General features: G+C 38.2%; 1 protein-coding gene across 26 annotated transcripts in view, besides 3 other annotated features; it reads right to left on the bottom strand.

Annotated features, from left to right (window-relative positions):
- Positions 1 to 19,001, bottom strand: part of PDE4D (phosphodiesterase 4D) — a 1,553,091-nt gene that overhangs the window by 149,886 nt on the left and 1,384,204 nt on the right. The gene's annotated exons all lie outside the window — the stretch shown is intronic.
- Positions 7,852 to 8,762: an enhancer, noted in NCBI's record as "OCT4-NANOG-H3K27ac-H3K4me1 hESC enhancer chr5:58422602-58423512 (GRCh37/hg19 assembly coordinates)". NCBI's record gives its function as "activates a minimal SCP1, AML or CMV promoter by ChIP-STARR-seq in naive H9 embryonic stem cells {active_cell/tissue: H9 hESC(naive)}" and the evidence as "EXISTENCE:reporter gene assay evidence [ECO:0000049][PMID:30033119]".
- Positions 8,763 to 9,672: an enhancer, noted in NCBI's record as "OCT4-NANOG-H3K27ac-H3K4me1 hESC enhancer chr5:58423513-58424422 (GRCh37/hg19 assembly coordinates)". NCBI's record gives its function as "activates a minimal SCP1, AML or CMV promoter by ChIP-STARR-seq in naive H9 embryonic stem cells {active_cell/tissue: H9 hESC(naive)}" and the evidence as "EXISTENCE:reporter gene assay evidence [ECO:0000049][PMID:30033119]".
- Positions 13,346 to 13,546: a silencer, noted in NCBI's record as "peak5260 fragment used in MPRA reporter construct". NCBI's record gives its function as "represses an SCP1 promoter by STARR-seq MPRAs in K562 erythroleukemia cells {active_cell/tissue: K562}" and the evidence as "EXISTENCE:reporter gene assay evidence [ECO:0000049][PMID:32103011]".

Here is a 19,001-nt window from a genome sequence, read left to right on the forward strand (position 1 = left end):
TATAAAAGTAAAGTAAGGCATGAGAGAATTGTATAAAGTGGGGTGGGGAGGATACAATTTAAACTGTTTTTAAGAAAAGATATAAAAGTAAAGTGAGGCATGAGAGAATTGTATAAACTGGCGTGGAGAAGATGAAATTAAAAAAAGCTTCTGAGAACCAAATGAGGTTGTAATACTCCAAAATTCTTAATTCAAATGTTCTTCCTGCCTCCTTTAAGGTTCAAAAGATAGCTGGCGTGACCATATTCACGAAAGTGAATTTCTCTTTAAATTGCCAAAATCTTATTATCATTATTATTACTATTATTTTTGGTTTACAGATCCAGGAATCTTTCTAATGATGGAGAAGCAAAATAAGAATAAAATGCATTTTATAAAAATCCTAATTTTAAATACCAAGAGAGAAGAGGAAATTTATGCTCTCTATATATTGTATAGGGGCTACCAGCATATGGCCTCTGTCCACAGAAGTACATTTATCTGGGAAATTGAAATAATTATTTAGTGAGCTCAGGCAAAAGTAAGTTCTAACACCAGAGCAGAGGACATAGCCTAATTTCATGAAAGCTGATTTATTATTGTTTATAAAACACCAAATTGTCATTACATTTTCTACCCTACGTATAACTTGTGTTTTTCCAGTGGTGCTAATATGACAAAGGAAATAATGGAAGACTATCATAAAGAAAGCTTAAAATATGGTGACTTTTACATCAGTAACACTATTTTTCAATCATTGAGTCCTGCTGTGCATCTTGACATTAGCTCTTCAATCATACTCCAAATGGAGTAAAAATTATCAGTAGAGGAAACATTCTATGATCCATTTCAATTCCACTACCTTTCCCACTGTTCATATTCAGAGAAATGGATATGAAGTGCTAGAGACAAGAGCAGAACAAATTAAAATTCTGCTTTTTCTGTGTGTCATTGCTTTTTGAGATGGGGTCTTGTTCTGCTGCATAGGCCAGTGTGCAGTGGTGGGATCATGGCTCATTGTAACCTCAAACTCCTGGGCTCAAGGGATCCTCCAGGCTCAGCCTCCCAAGTAGTTGGGACTGCAGACATGCACTACTCTGCTTGGCTAATTTTTTTATTCTTAGTAGAGTCTGTTCCCCAGGCTGGTCTCAAACTCCTGGCCTTAAGTGATCCTCCTACATCGGCCTCCCGAAGCACCAGGATTACAGGTGTGAGCCACCAAGCTCAATCAAAAGTCCTACCTATAAACTAAAGTTCCACAGAGACTGATGGTTAAAAATGCAAATTGAAATCAAATCAGCAACACTCTAAAATCTGAAAAGATTCATTATTTCTCCACCAGAACACTTTTTATAAACAAGCTGAAGGTTACTTTAATTTTGTTCAAGGTTGTGTCCTACCTTTCTTTGATCTATCCCACAGCATATAGTCAAGTGGTAGCCCCATGACGTGCACTTCACTAAGAGGAGGTCAGAGTTATCCATTCATTCATTGATTAAATACATATGAATCAAGTCTATGTGTCAGGCACTTTGAGTATCAACAATTCCAAAATCAACAAGACACAATGTAAGCTCTCAAGAACATCACAGTTTATGGTAGCCAAGACCATTTTTAAAAAAATTGATAAACATCTACTCTGATGTACTTAGTGCCCAATTCTTTCTCCCTTTCTCTTTAAAAAAAAAAATTATTGTACTGCTCAAAGCAATCTACAGATTCAATGCAATCCCTATCAAAACCAATGTCATTTTTCACAGAAATAAAAAAAAACTTAAAATTTCTATGGAACCAAAAAAAAAGCACAACTAACCAAAGCAATCCTGAGCAAAAAGAACAAAGCTGAATATATCACACTACCTGACTTCAAGATATGTTACAACGCTATAGTAACAAAAGCAACATGGTATAAAAACAGACACATAGACCAATGGAATAATACAGAGAGCCTGGAAACAAATCCACATTTTTACAGAGTGGACTGATAGATTTAGAGTAGACAGAGAGCATAATGATAGATACATTTGATTTTCTATAAAGGCACCAAGAATATACATTAGGGAAAGGAGATCTCTTCAATAAATGATGCTGGAAAAACTGGACACCCATAAGCAGAAGAATGAAAGTAGACCCCTATCTCTCACCATACAAAAATCAACTCAAGATGGATTAAAGACTTAAACATAAAACTGCTAGAAGAAAACACAGAAGAAACACTTCAGGACATTGGTCTAGGCAAAGATTTTATGGCTAAAACCTCAAAAGCACAGGCCACACGACCAAAAATAGATAAATGGGGCTGTATTGAACTAAAAATTTCTGTATAGCACAGCAAAGCAAACAATCAAGAGAGTGAAGAGACAATCTATTAAATGGGAGAAAATATTTGCAAACTACTCATCTGACAAGGGAATAATATTCAGAATATATTAGGAACTCAAACGTCTCAATAGTAAAAAAGCACACAATCCCATTAAAAGTGGACAAAGGACATAAATAGGCATTTCTCAAAAGAAGACATACAAATGTCCAATATGAAAAAATGCTCAACATCACTAATAATCAAGGAAATGCAAATTGATACCACAATGAGATATCATCTTACCCCAGTTAGAGGGCTATTATTAAAAATGCAAAAAATAATAAAAAATAAAAAAAAAATAACAGATGCTGGCTAGGATGCAGAGAAAAGGGAACTCTTACATATCACCAGTGGGAATGTAAATTAGTACAGCCACTATGAAAACCAGCATGGAGATTTCTCAAAAAACTAAAAATAGAACTAACCACTATGTCCGGCAATCTCACTACTGGGTATTTATCCAAAGGAAAAGAAATTGGTGTATCAAAGAGATACCTACATCCCCAAGTTTATTGCAGCACTATACAGAATAGCAAAGATGGAGAATCAACCTAAGGGTCCCTCAACAGATGAATGGATAAAGAAAATGTGGTATACGGCCAGGCACAGTGGCTTATGCCTGCAATCCCAGCACTTTTGGAGGCCGAGACGGGCGGATCACGTGGTCAGGAGATCCAGACCAGCCTGGCCAATATGGTGAAACCCCATCTCTTCTTAAAATACAAAAATTAGCCGGGCATGGTGGCACTCGCCTGTAGTCCCAGCTACTTGGGAGGCTGAGGCAGAAGAATTGCTTGAACCCGGGAGGCGGAGGTTGCAGTGAGCTGAGATGGCACCATTGCACTCCAGCCTGGATGACAGAGCAAGACTCTATCTCAAAAAAAAAAAAAAAAAAAAAAAAAGCAAGAAAGAAAGGAAGAAAGAAAGAAAACATGGTATACACAATGGAATATGATTCAGCCATAAAAAAGAATAAAATCGTCATTTACAGCAACATGGATGGAACTGGAGATCTTTATGTTAAGTGAAATAAACTGGGCACAGAAAGATAAATATCACATGTTCTCACATATGCAGGGGCTAAAAAACTTGAACTCATGAAGGTAGACCGATAGATACCAGAGCCTGGGAGGAGTGTGTAGGTGGGAGGGGAGGGGATGAAGAGATTGATTAATGGGTGCAAACACACAGATAGAATAAGCTCTAATGTTCCATAGCAGATTAGGTGACTAGAGTTAACAACAGGTATTGCATATTTCAAAATAGCTAGAAAGAGGACACACAGGCATGATAAATACTTGAGGTGATGGATACCGTAAATACCCCGATTCCATCATTATACATATTGTGTATGTAACAAAACATCACATGAACCCCATAAATATATACAGTAATTATGCACCAACAAAGATAATTTACTGAAGTGAAATTCATATCACATAAACTTAAAAATAGTAAAGTCAAGAATTCAGTGGCATTTAGCACATTTACAATGTTGTGCAACCACCACCTCTATCTAGTTCCAAACATTTTCAACATTCCAAAGTAAAACCCCTTACCTATTAAGAAGTTCTTTTCTCAAGACCACTTTTAACTTCAATGTATGGGAAGCCTTCATTTCGAAACAGGTTTTGAAAAAAATTCTATGCCCACAATCACTTAACTTAAATATTAGAATTGAGACTAATGGAGTCAAAGAGTCCTGTAACATCAGACACAGCCTCTTAGGGTTTTTAAAATGGCATTCTGCATTCTCTGTTTTTTTTGTTTTTTTTTTTCTTTGGTTTTGGTTTTTTCAGTCTGTCAATTTTCCAGATTCCTATCTCCCAAAGCCGGTAGATGTCTCCTTTGATCCAGTAGCTAAGGCATGGTTGAACTGATCATATTTATACCGAATTTCCAAAGATCAATCAACGAGAATTCTCGGGTCTATGTGCTTGTTTATTTAGCCCTGCCTCTATGCCTGAACTTCATCTGGAAGTCACACATAGTCTTCTTTCTGTCTTCAGCCATGAGCAATAGTGTATTTGCACTAAAAACGTTTCCATGGCATCTTCTTCTTTATTTAATTTTCTATCAGCAGACCCTTCTTTGATACTTCCTTTTTCTGCCCATTCTGGTAATTCAGTTGACTAAAACACAAAACTCTTCCCAGGTAATCTTTGTTTCCCTTTCATAATCTGCCGTTTATACATCTACTTAATTCATAATTTTGCTAAACATCTCCAATTATTTGTTCCTACATTGTTATCTTGCCATCAAAATATTGATTTTAATACCTGTGACCCCTCCAGTCCATTTAAAATATTAATTACCAAGTTTCCTGCCTTGGATATTGGAGTTCTTAATACTAACATCAAACCAAATGTTTTATCCTCATTTCTAAAGCTCTACTCCATTGCAGACACCGTGACATCTAACACTTAGCAGATAGAAAAAAAGTATGCCATTGTAAATCTGAAAACTTCTGGGCTTGCATGTCAGAGACTGGAAGTGGTTTGTTTGAAAGGAGCTTATACTGAGGCAGCATAGCATAACACAGTGGTTAAAAGCAAGTCTGTGAAAGTGAGAAAGACTGGGGTCCAAATCTTGGCTCTAACACTTCTAAGCTACGTGACTCTGGGCAAGTTGCTTAAATTCCCTGAGCACCAGCTTTCTCATCTGTATGATGTAAAAAAAAGAGCAGCACTGTTTAGTAAACATGGTCTTGGCTTTATACCACTTCCTAATATTTCTACAACTGTCAAGTCAATCAACATGTTACCTTAGAAACTGTGGAAAAGGTATAACCTTTGGAAAATGTAATCAGGGGGGAACAACTTTTCCTAGCCCAAGTCCAGCTTCTGGTTCTGCCCTGACAGGTATCTGTAAGTTATAATGTTTTACTAGGTCTTCATTTCCTTACTTATAAACTGAGGGAGGTTGAGTGAGGAGTTCTATTTGTTTGCATTTTGGCTCTGCAATTCAGGGGTTTTATTTGACACGTGAGGACCAAGGAGTAGAAAGGAGCAATCAAGTGCAGTGGTTTGGTCAAGATCACATAAAAAGTCTTGCTGTAAAACCAGGAGCTAGTCCTAAACTGCTCACCAGCAAGCTTGATTTATACTCGAGTAGACCATATTCTCTTGCTCCTCCAGCTGCAGCTCCACTCCTCATTTATCTTAGCCCAGGCTGACTCTAAGCTGCTTTCACTTCTACCTCACTGCATTTCGCCCTGATAATTTTGTAGCTTACCTAGCCTCCCTCTTTGAGATCCCTTCTTAAAAGGGTCATTCTATTAACCTACCCATATCAGTTACTTTACTACTGCTGATCTATCGCTACCTGTCAATTCATGGGAATTACAGGGTGCACTGGGACAAGAGTAAAATGATCCAACAAACATAATGTTGCATTTAAAAAAATAAGCTAAAAGATACTGATGACTTTTTATAACTACAACATATTCGTTTGTGAATAAGAACATATATAGTAAAAAGATGAAAATGTGAACAGGTTGACTATTTCCTAAATTTATGGCAGAGGTTGTTCTGGAGAGGATGGAAGAAAAATGAGGCTGGCAGTGATGGTGGGGAAATGCAACCTCCAAAATTATCTATCTATATATTTTTATTAAAAACACCCACAGTAATTATGGCAAATGTTAATGTTTGTTTGTTCTAGGTTTTGGATACATTTAAGATCTCTTGCTTTCTGGGTACATTTCTTTTCTTTTCTTTTCTTTTTTTTTCAAATTAATTCCAAAAGACTTATATCTGCTACATGAAGAACGAAGCAAGTTCAGCTCTCTTGCTGAAATGTTCAAATGCTGAGGCAAGGCCTGTACTACAAATTTGTGTAACCAAAACCACAGTGCTCTCAATGCTCCTAGTGTTGCATTACAGCAGTTAGAAGAGATTGAGCTATTTTGTTTCCATGGCTCATTAAGCTAGAGTTAGACTGGTGTCCATAATCAAATTTACTGCACTTACCCTTGCTTCTTCCCTATGAAGTACAGCCAGACCTTAGGGAAAATCTCAACTATTCCAGGTCCATGGTAATTTGGTCCACGAAAGAAATTAACACACCTGAAAAGGATTAAATTATTTTTCCTTTTCAAAATGATCCTCTTCCTTAAGCTTCCTCTGTCAATTGACTGCCAACCTTATTTGCTAATTCCCATCCCTCATCGGGCTTCCTAGCACTTCCTGCTGCAAATTAGTGTGCAGTGAACCTGAGCCTGCTCTCCAAAACACATCCAGACTCTTGGGGCTTTCTGGGCTTCCGCTAGGGTGCCTGGTGCAAAGGGGGCCTAAATCAATCAATTAAGGCCTGGGAAGATTCCAGGCAAGAGGAAGGGATATCTTGGGGGACAAAAGGAATGTGTAGGTGGGAAGAAGGGAGAAAGTCTTTCTTCGTTTTTCACTGCAGGAAATGATCTGGACAGAGAGCAATTCGAATCATAGACAGGGAGGGTTGGGCAGGATGCGATGGGGGAGCGAATGACAGACACAAGTGACAGGAACAACTTAGGGAGACAGGTCAGAAAACATCTAATCTAGGCACATAGCAGAAATAGTGAAGGGAATTGAAACAGTTGTTCTGTATTTTGTTCACAGTGTTAAAGTCAAAGTCAGTGCTTTTTAACCTCATGGGATGGAGCGGGGGAGGGGGCACAAGGAGCCTTGTGTGAAGGCTCTGGCTCTGCTTATTGATCCCCCAAATACAATAATACATCCTCACAATCATAAATTTGAGAGCAAGGGGCTCTGATCCTGTGATATACAATCTAGGCCCTTATTGGATCCTGGAACTGATTTTCAGAATCCTTTATTCTTTTAAGTACAATTGTAAAAAAAAAAAAAGAGAGAGAGAGAGAGAGAGAGAAAGCAAGGAAGAAAGGAAAAAAGGAAGGGAAGAAGGAAGGAAGGAAAAAAGGAAGAAAGGAAAGAAGGGTTCCATTTATAAACCTCAGACAAAACAAAAATGAAAGCAAAAGAGAACAAAAAATAGCCAATACGACCCAAGTTACAAATTTACTTGTATCCTTTCAGAGGATAACCCAAATTCCTGCAAGACAATTAGCCATCTTTCTTTCGATTATTACAGTAAGCAAGACGGGTTAAGAGTATATAGTAAATGTGCTTTGCTAAACTCCTTCTCCCTTTATTGACTCTATCACAAGAAGCACACTTAATATAATTTTTACAATTTTTTAAAGAACAAATAGGAAAGAGGAGAAGGTTGTACTTTAGCTACCTTTGTGTATTTGAAAGGAATGCTGTTCAGGGCTTCTTCCTTTTCAAAAAGAAACAGGTCTTTGAAAACGAAGAATCATTACTGTGCATATCTCTCGAGGGCTGCTCCTCTAGTATCAGTCCATTTGAAATAGGAGTTTCACATAATTCAATTTATTAAACCCACATTTCCTGCCAGATTTTGCTTTATGTGCCTATGTCCTTTTGTTTCCCGGCTAACATTTCCACATCTCGGAAATCATTCTTTCTAGTATAACTGAAGAATATGGATATTAAAATCAGATCAGCAAAAGATTTTTATGGACTTGGAAAGCTGCCCATTAATGCCGTAAAATAAAGCGTGTTATACAGCTGATATCATCAGTTCTACTCTATGTTGTTTTCATATTCCTGGCGGTGGGTGGAGAGTTAGAGTGGAACAATTAGGAGTGGGAAAGAGAATGAAAGGATTCGATCAATTGTGGAATTTCAAAGCGGAGACAATTTACACTAAAGAATTCAAAGACTTCGTAACCTCCAAGACATTTTCCAGTCCAGGTAACCGTTGAATTATAGCTGGAGGTGATGTTCTTGGAGCTGCCTGTGAAAGCTGAAATCACAACATGCCTGCAGTGTTCCCTTCCTAAACCAACTTTGCCATTTTCTCAGGCAGACACACAAACATGCAAGCGTCCACAGTAATGTGCGTGTGTGAGGGATGGGGGAAGAGTGATTGTTGCTTTGTAGTAGCTCCTTTGAAGTGTTTAATTCCTCCCTTGTAATCTCTTCATCAACACACATTTAAAGCATATCAGTTTTACCTCAGCAATTTGATTCTCAGAGGCTTATGTGGCTCAGGGCCTCTGTCCAGCACCTGGGTGGCACAGTTTGTTTTATGTGCATGCAGAAGTGTTAACAGAATTAATTTTTTTCCTTCTTTCTCTCTTTCTTCTTCCCCCACCTCCCCCAATTTAGGTTAATGAGCCCAGGCAGCAGTGTGTGTGAGTGAGCGGGCGTGTGCACAGGAGGGCCGTGAGCCTGCCTTTTTAAAATACAGGAAACGCATAGAAGAAAGAAGAGTTCAGCTGGAGCCACGACTTCCCTCTTTGCTTCTTTCCCTCCCCACCCCCCCACCCCCCACCTCACCCCCCACACTCCAGCACCGGCTTTTAATTTTCAAAAGCACTGCAATTGCTTGGTGTGGTTTCAAGAGCTGGGGTGCCATTCTCCCTGATGATGACTCTGCTGACGTCAATGGCATTCTTATCATGCCTAGTGCGACATCAGAAACCAGTCCTCAGAGGCTCCTCTTATTCACAGTGCCTGGGCTCTCAGCAAAATGTGGACCGGATTCTGAAACGCAAAGGACTCCCCGTTCCTAATCAGCGCTGCAATCCACCAGACAGTCTCCTTCTGCCGGCAGCTTGCCAGTTAAGACTTTGTTCCTTAGCGTTCTGTCCTGCAAGGACCCCCTGAAGGAGAAGAGAGGGCTAAGTGGATCACAGCGTGTCCTCCGTGTCTGAGCTTTCAGAGCCGTGTGTGTGTGTGTGTGTGTGTGTGTGTGTGTGTGTGTCCCTCAACCAAGGTTAGAGACTAGTCAATGCTGCTTCTGATTATTCTTCAGGTTTTACTAAAAGGCTTCAGTCTTTGATATAAGGCTATTCCCCCGACACAGTGGCTAAGACCCTCTTGTGTAAGTGCTCCTAGCTCACTCTCTGGATCAGAACCAGCGCCCAGGTCCCCACGTGAAGCCCATATTCACCCCAGATGGCAGCATGCACCTCCTCTCCTTTTTTTAATAAAGAAAAAGAAATAGGAGGTTGGGAGGAGAAGGAAAATAATCATAGCTGAATAATAATAGCAGAATAGGAAAATAGTATCACTAAGAATTAAATATTTCACTCTAAATACTCATGACTTGTTAAGAGGTCTGCTCTCAAAAGCTGAATTCACAAGGGAGTTAATACATACTAAACCCAGTATGCATTCCTACCTAGCAGTTTGGGGGCAATTATTATGGGGATGATGAACTTTCTCCATTTACAGTGGAGTGTATTATGGTCCAAATCTACCCTAAAGCATTTGGGAAATGTCTACAGTTCAAATTAAGATGTTTAGAGTCAAGGTCATTTCGCTTGATGATGGAATGATACATGTCTAGTTAGATTTCATCTGACCAATCTTTGACACAAACACATCAGAATTGTCTTGGTATCCACCAACCAAATAATGTTTGTTTCTCTTGAAGATTGCTGAGTGACCCATAGTAAGCTTATTAGGAGATTAGGAGCAACTGTTCCAGAGAGAAGCTGTTTAACAACATATGAAATGTGCAACATAATTCCATCTAGAACTATTTAGAATCATAACATGGAAGAACAGCAGCTTACACCTGGTTCAACCCTTCTACCTTTAAGTGAGGAAACTGATGCCCAAAGGCTGCGTCATGCTTTACTCAAGGTCATCCACCTATTAAGAGGCAGGACTGACAAACTAAAGCTGTCTCTCTCTAAATGGTATGCTTTTCCTACTACAACACATAGCTCCTGATTATTCAAAACCTAATGACCAAACCTCAAACCCACTTGCCAAGGGAGTTTCCATTTTTCTTTTAAATCTGAGCAATATTTCTTAATTTTTTGATTAAAGTGATATTTCAGGAATGTTTAGATGAATTATAATGAGTTTCTCCTTTGTTTTCAGTGAGTTTCACAACTAGTGTAAAGGTTATTAAGTAGAATGGAACAAAATAATATATGTTGGAATGCATGAAATTCAGATGGTTTTGTTCTTTGTTATTTTTTGTAGAGACAGCATCTCCCTATGTTGCCCAGGCTGGTCTCAAACTCCTGGGCTCAAGTAATCCTCCTGCCTTGCCTCCCAAAGTGCTGAGATTACAGATGTAAGCCACTGAGCCCAGCAAAGACGTGTTTTTAAAAAGTGATGATGGGCTCTGGGAAGAAGGAGCAAAGATTTATCTGGGTTCCAAATGTATGAGCTCCCTGAGCCCAGCCATCATTCTGCTTCATCTACTACATAGCTCTCACCATGGTTTGTAACATTGCTTGCTAATATATTTTATTTGCCACCTAATTCAAGCCATTAAGTTAATATTCGATTATATAAATATGATCTTTATAGTTACTTTTTCCCTATCCCCAATAGTTTTGCCTTCTCTTCAGAGGACTGTAACTGCTTCTATAAATCACCTTTTGCTACTCTCTTTTTGGTAGACGTGCATCACATTCTGGTCGCGAATGGTGAGGAGATGGGGCAGATGCTGGTTTTAGAGTCAGACAAACCTGTGTTGGAAACCTGGCTTAACCACTTGCTACTATATAATTTCAAGACATAACTTCTCTGAGCCTCAGTTTCCTTATCTATAAAATATGACCCTACCTTGCAGGGTTATTGAAAGGGTTAGAGATGATGTTTACTAAAGTCCTATCACAATGCCTAGCACATAGGAGAAACTCAATCAAGGATAATTTTATTAATGATTTTTAAAAAATAAATGGGGAAAATCATAAAATTAATAAAGATTAGTAAGATTGAACAAAGGACATATAGTATTTCCCCCCTTATAACCAGAGCTGTTCCTCAGTACCACTAAAATTGGAAGGACAATATTTCTTTAAAGAATTTTTCTAGTGAAAAGCTAAGCCAAATATATGATCATTGGCCTGCATTATGAATGCATGTTTCACTGAGTATCTGATTATAATTGGATGTCAAATAGCTACAAAACCTAATTGTGGTCTCAAAAATTGTCTCTTCTCCCTGAGACAAACATCCAATATTTCCTAGGTGATAACTAAGCTTTGTGTACACTGAGATAAGACGCCAAATCAATTCCTTAAACTTAAAGGCACAAAGGTTTCGGAAAGCCTCATTGTCCATTTGAGAGACAAGCCACGGCATCTCGTAAAGCACATTTTCACTGTATACTATGTTACTACAAAATTGAGTTAATTTCATTAATAACAAAATTTATCAAAATAAAAATGCTTTCTCCTTTGCAGGAATCCATAAATAACATAAAATAATAATAGCATTTTAACTCAGAAGCAAATTACAGCCATGACTGTTTAAGTTGGCTAACCCAAATTTCGTAAGTGAAACTGGAGTGGTCTGCGTAAGTCCTAGATTGCATATGATTCAGGGAAACCCAGATGTCAAAAGGGTGTGTGAATCAAAAGAAGGTATTCATCTTGGTGATTTAGCCCTGAACCAATCAATTCTTCCCAGAGCACTGGAGAAAAAGTTCTTGTTTCTAATGGAATCATCCTGCCCTTACCTACCTAGTAAAAATTTTGTACCCAATCAATACCTTAGTCAACTTTAAATTCCTGAATAGCCCTTCTGCCTCATTCAAGTGAATGGAAAGAAAAGGTTTAATCATATTTAAATACTCCAGACTATTGAGTAAAGTTAAATGCAAATTTGGTCATGTTATTCCCTTCTTTAAAACCATCCATTCATTAGTGATGATCCATTCACCTAACTATGCCCTCAGCAGGCAGGGCTGTTAGCCTGAGGAAGGGGTGCCCTTTTCTATTTCATCCAGCTAGAAGATGGCCCTTTGGAATCTATCTGCTCAATGATATTGTATTTCTAGAATATAAAAAAGATGCCTTAAATATACAAAAGGCACAGGGGGAGTCCTTTTTAGGTCTCAGTTTAAGGCTGATTTCTGAGTTGGTTATATGCTCTCACAGCAATTTGTATGTTGCCTTCATGGTGCTTAAGGCAGTTCAATCATACATTTTGTTTTTCTTTCCCCTACTAGAGTATAAGGTAGAAATTGTGACTATATTTTTCACTTTCGTATCCCCAACTCCATCCCAGTGCCTAGTACACAAGTACCAGGTACTTTATTGACTGATACACAAGTACTAGTGAATTAAAAAATTGTTATATAAAGTTGGGTTGTTGTCTTGTCCAATAGTAGCTGTGTTTCGCACTGCAAGTCATTTTTGAGAGCATATGAAATAACTCTATGTCCTCATGAATGACTTTATCATAATCATTCCTGAACAGCACGGGCGTGTGGTATTCCAAAAGGGAGTTTTACTGGCCCTTGGTTAAATTTAAAGAAATAATAAGGCCAATTTAAAACACACACACACACACACACACACACACACACACACACACACACACACATTAATGAGAGATTTCTAAGCCCCCCATGGGAGATGACTGCCCTTTTTGTCCTTGTTTTGCATATTAAAAGTATATAGAATGTGGAAAATAAATGTCATAATATGAAATCATGGTTCCAGTATATGTTAGTGTGTTCTGTTGAAAATAGTTTTGTTTGGCAAAAATGAAGAGTTGGTAATTGTATGTTGGGCCTCACAGTTTTTTGTTTTGAAATTCCAAAGTCTGGGAACCATTGACTTAGCAGGGTTTTCCCATCAGAACACAGATTTGAGGGTTTTTAAGGATACATGTCTTAGTTTCTAGTCGCGTATGGCTCCAACCTACAATCCTTCCTTCTTTCGGGTCCCACCTTTATTTTTTACTTTTCTGATAGTTCCCACAACTTTGCCCACAAAGTTGCCAATTCCTAAATATTATTATCAAAGTGCAATTTTGTATACCCCAAAGCTAATATATAATTAATTTTACTATAAGAGAAATCAGTTAAAATGTAAAAAGTTTAATAATATACATTATAATAATGGCCCTGGTACACTCCCCCACCGTTCTTTGGAATAAGCAAAGGTATAACCCTTGAAAGTAAAATTAACTTTTCTTTGCACATATTAGACTTCTCAATGGTGTGCCAAAGAGTGGAGATGACAGGTGAGCCAAGCTATTGATTTCCCTTGGCTCTTGTCGCTAGTGGGTGGGAGACTGAACACAAGCCACATCCTTTATTTACTGCAGTTTTCGTAGAAATATAGTTATCAGCGTATGTCATGAAGGAACAAATGTGGGGAAGTACTGACCTAAATAACTTTTACGTGATTCAGTATACATGTAAATTGAAATAAAGAATATTAAATCTCAAAACTATCCAGAGGACCTTATTCAATGGTATAATATTTCAAATTTAATTTTTTATTACAGTATATTTTCAGGTACAGTTTTAAAAATGGGGAGCATGCAATTAACGAATACATAAAAATAACACTAGTTTAATCTTCCCTTTAAGAAAAGTTCCTGTTTGCTATTCCTGTTACATATACAGGCATAGGACTTCATGGCCTTTAAGACATGTTGATAATATTAACATTTCCACTTGATTGTGGGAAGTAGCATTCATTTTCAGCTTTGCTTAGAGCTTATTAACCTGATGTCAACAAGATATACTAGAAATGTCCTTGTCAGTCCAAACCCACAAGTAGAAATGATCATGTTGTTGAATGTGTTCAGTCTGATTTGACAACGGTAACAAGTCAACACTGTTCTGCTAAAGGAAGGTCAATCATCCCATTGCACCAGGGATTTCTTTATTTCTTTTGCTAACATTAGCATTATGACCAGTGTATGTCAAAGAATACATTGGGATAAAAAATTCTGCTTGTCCATTTCTGTTTTTCCATTCTCTTATGACTTAGAGAATTGAAAAATTAATCTCAATTTTTTTCTGTCTGTAAATATACAATATATATATACACACACTCTTACACAAAATCTCTGAAAATGCTGTCACATGCATGAAACACAAAATGAAAAAGGTAGAGATTTTTTCATAAACATGAAACAGAAAAAACTTTCCTCCTCACTACAATTCATAGCTAGGATTCATGATTTTCTAGTAAGAGTAGCAAAATGGATGCCGATTCTATGGCATAGAAGACCAATGGCTTTAGACCTGGATTCAAATTTTAACTCTGCCACTTCCTAGCTTGGTGAAGATAAGCAAGTTAAGTCTTAGTTTTCTCATTTGTAAATTGGAGTCCATAGAGTCGTGAGGATTTCACAAGGTAATTTATTTGAAGCATTTGGCACAACACCTGGTACAAATTAGGAACTCAAGCAACAGAAGACACAGCATTAAAATACAGTGCACTACATCAGGACATTACAAAAGCTTAATTTAATAAATCTCTTGTCTGATTCATTCTAATTCTGCTAGTATACTGTAGAAAAGTACACTAGGTCCTGTTTGTGGCCTCCCCAGGTCAGCTCTGCCCACCCTACCCCTTGGGCATAAGCCACTCTCCCAGTTTCCCAGGCATGCCACAGCAGCCCCAGTAAAGCAGCGGTTATCACTGCAATTGCCTCATGTTTTCCACCTCCCCATCCTTGCGGGCTTAGCGTGGGCAATGGCCTCTGACTTGACAGGAACCATCCAGCTACACGTGAGATGGACAAAGGCTCTGTATTCCCCAGGGACTCTGGGAGGGCCAAGGGTACCATGGAGCAAACTTTGACCAATGAGAGACAAAAGACCTATGCACAGAAAAATTGCTCACCCTTTCTTCTCCATGTGGAATGTTTTACGACACAGCCTCACAGGCAATGTCCCTTGTAACTTAGCAACTAGTTTTGTTGTTGTTGTTGTTGTTGTTGTTGTTGGGAAGCTCTGACAAGCTTAGTAATGCATTACCTTGTACATGGTTTCTCTTCTTCCCTACTGCTGTTCCTTTCACCCCCTCAACTCCACTTTTGCTTTCTTGGGATTGCATGACTCACCTCCCTCATAAAGCTAGCATGTAAGCTGTCCCTAGGGAATTTGATCAAAAACTGTGAGATTTAGAAAAAAAGATGAGGCAACTAGATACAGTACAAGAATGAAAGAGAAAAAGTCATAATATTTGACATCAATTTACTTATCTATGATTCCTTGGATTCTCTCAGTAGTGGAAGCTCTTAAGACCACATTACCACCTTATTAACAAAGAATAACTGATAAAATCAACGGGACAATGGGCCTTTGAGAACAAACCATCATTAATTTTGTTCCACAGAGTCCAATTTCAATTATAACCTAAGATATGTTTGGAACCACTTAATGCTATTTTATGAGAGAGAGACAGTTTTCTCTTTGAAAAGTCATGTTCCTTTGAATTTAACTAAAACGTAACAGGATGTTAAAACGAAACCCTGGCATTTTTCTTTCCTTCAGAAATATGCCCACATTTTATAGAGAAAGCTATATATTGAGGTTCTGCAAACAACAAAATGCAATTTTCACATTAAACATGGATTCTAACATCTGGCATTTCTCCTAGTGCTTGCACATAATTATCCAAAATTGCAGTTTTTCCAACAGGGGACCCACAGTGGTAGCTCTGATTCATTCCACATTATATATATGACCCTTTCTCATAGTGAGGGTGGTCTTCAACACCAATGCTCCTGACTGCTATCTTCCTTCAACTTACATGGAATACTTTTCCTCATGGCTCCAAATGTATGAGCTCTAGGTTGTTATTCAGGGTTCTTTCATCCTCATTTTTTGTACCTTTTATGACTACTTTCTGAAAAGGCACATTTGCTGAGTTGGCGCCTCACAGGTGGTTTGGTTTGTGGCATATTTTAATAGCTATGAAACCATGAGTTCAGCTATTGGGTTGCAATGAGTTACATAATGCATGTGCAATTCAGTGCGCACCAACAAGAAGATTTTCCTAAGACCCCAAATGACCCAGGAAACGGACACATTGAAGGGGTTGCACCTCACCAAATGTCCCTGACAAGGATGCACTTATTTGGAAGGATGTGCCCTTACTCTGAAGGCTGGTGGTCTGAGGAGAGTAGATGTGGTAATCATCCAACTACATTAAGGCACATTTATTTCTGTTGCTTTTTGGTTCATTTTATTTTGATTTGGTTTGTTTTCTGTTCTTAGCAATCAGTCCATTTTATGAGTACTTTGGCAAGTAGTAGCAAAAGCTGTTTTCTCTAGGAAATTTTTAACCTTTCAAACACAGCAGAGATGTTAGGGACATTATAAATTCAATTAAATGTGGTCCCTGTTTCTGGGGTTGATGGTCATAACCATTTTTCTTTTTCTTACCACTCCAGTTTAATTTACTTGGAATGAAAAAAGTAAATCTGAGCTTCTGAGGATTATCAGTTGAGATTCTGGGCCTTTAAACACAATCCTCTCTGGTCTGGACTTATTTGCAACCCAGCACTTCCAGAAATGCCCATCATTAGCTCAGGAGGATGAACTCCAAATAATCCACGTTCTATTTATCTCATTATTCTCTATATTTATGTATTCATTCAATACGTATATCTCCCATACGCCAGCACTATGCAGATGATAGGGACATCATTTTGAACAAAACAGAAAAACCACTGCCTGAAGATACTGGGCCATGAAATTCTGTTCAAAGATATGTTTTGGCATTCATTTTGCAAATCTCTACATAGCATGAGGAGGAATGAAAAGAATAAATTATATCCTTCACTTATTCATGCATTCGTTGTCCATTTATTTAAAAAACATTTATTGAGAATCTATTTTGTGATAGGTACTGCACCGAATGCCAGGAAAAACAAGCATAAAAGATACAGGGTGTCCAGAAACCATCTGAAAGGATGAATTTGACTACTCAAATATTTTAAAAGACTAAATGATAAAAAAAAAAAACCCTAAACAAATTAAAATTTTTTGAAAAGTTTACACAAATGAGGAGAGTTCATTTTCTTAATATACTCAAAACATTAACATATCCATAAAAAATAAACTCCTCAAGATAATTGATTCAATGAGTCTTTGGAGGTAGGAGGGAACTGGCCCATAAATGTATGAAAGGTGACTAATTTTCTTTGCAATTAAATTAGATGGGGAAAATATGTTTTTTGTGAATCTCAGGGTCAGTGTGTATAGAAATACAAGCATTTCTTGTGATGATGGTGGGATTGTAACTTAATATATTCTTTTTAGAAGACAGCTTGGCAATATTTATGAAAATTTTAAATTCAGTTTCACAGCTAAGACTTTATTCAATGGGTAAACTCACAAAGATGTTCAGGCACAAGGATGCCTGCAGTGTTATTTGTATTAATTGTAGTAAAAACTGGAAATGACCCACAAGACTATCAATAGAGTTAAATGGGTTTTTAGACATAACATAATGCAATACTATGTGTCAAATAAGAATGATCATTATCTCTAGATCATGATCTGTATAAGTCCATACAAAAGGGCCCCAAGATACACTATTAAATTACAAAGAGCTTGGTGCAGAATAGTATTTGTAATACTCTCTTGGAGGATATGCAAGAAACTATTAACACTTTACTCCCGACAGTCATGACCAAGCAATTAGAGTTGCCCCAGGTAACATCTATTTGCTATCCTGCTCTGTCACATAACATTTACTGTAAGTAGAGCTCTCTCTGAGAAATGTGCTGGTCCAAGCTCTTTGAATATTTGTATACAGTTAAAATCACGAAGAACTGAAGATCACTGCAATTTTCAAAGGAATGAGGACTTTAAAAGGACAGCAGCAGCAAGGGAAAGGTAGGGTGACCAACTTGTCCTAATTTGTCCAAGACTTCCCCAGTTTTAGCACTGAATGCCCCACATCCCAGGAAATCCCTCAGTGCCAGGCAAACTGGAACAGCTGATCACCCTCACCTGCCTTGGGGCTGCTGCAGAGGCCTAAGCATGAACCGTAGACACAAGAGAAACTGAGAAACTTTCTTTCTGCCCCCATCCTGGCTTCCCTGTACCTCTGCCCAGATGCCAAAGAGTCCTCCTCACTTTCCCACAGCCACAACTCCCGACTTCCCTTGCACCTCTGTCCTTTGGTACAAAGATTTCTACGTTTGCGTTAGTGATGTGACCTCTTGGATTAGGATTTCCAAAACTAGAAATGTTTTTGGAGTTTATGTAGGGTTTTACAGGAGAAAAGAAGCTATTGTGAAAGAACTGTGAGGGAAGGAATTGGATATAGGAACAAAAGTTATTTTGGGGGCTAGAAATCATAAATCTAAATGGGTTTTCAAGGCAAAGAAAAACTTCATGGTATAGATAGGAAAGGATACAGTATTATTCATTAGAAAAATGGAAATGGTATCTATGAAATTAATTTAGATTTAAACAAGAATATTTTAAGAGGGAAAGTTTCTTTTTTTTTTTTTTTTCTTGAGATGGAGTCTCGCTCTGTCGCCCAGGCTGGAGTGCAGTGGCGAGATCTCAGCTCGCTGCAAGCTCCGCCTCCCGGGTTCACGCCATTCTCCTGCCTCAGCCTCCCTAGTAGCTGGGACTACAGGCGCCCGCCACCACGCGTGGCTAATTTTTTGTATTTTTAGTAGAGACAGGGTTTCACCGTATTAACCAGGATGGTCTGGATCTCCTGACTTCTTGATCTGCCTGCCTCGGCCTCCCAAAGTGCTGGGATTACAGGCGTAAGCCACCACGCCCAGCCTTAAGGGGGAAACTTTCAAGAGAGAAAAACGCCAACCCTGAGGGAATATGGGATTAAAAAATGTATCAGTAATTTATATGCTTCTGACACTTTCTATGT

The sequence above is a fragment of the Homo sapiens genome, chromosome 5 (assembly GCF_000001405.40).
Source record: "Homo sapiens chromosome 5, GRCh38.p14 Primary Assembly".
In the NCBI taxonomy this organism is placed as follows: domain Eukaryota; kingdom Metazoa; phylum Chordata; class Mammalia; order Primates; family Hominidae; genus Homo; species Homo sapiens.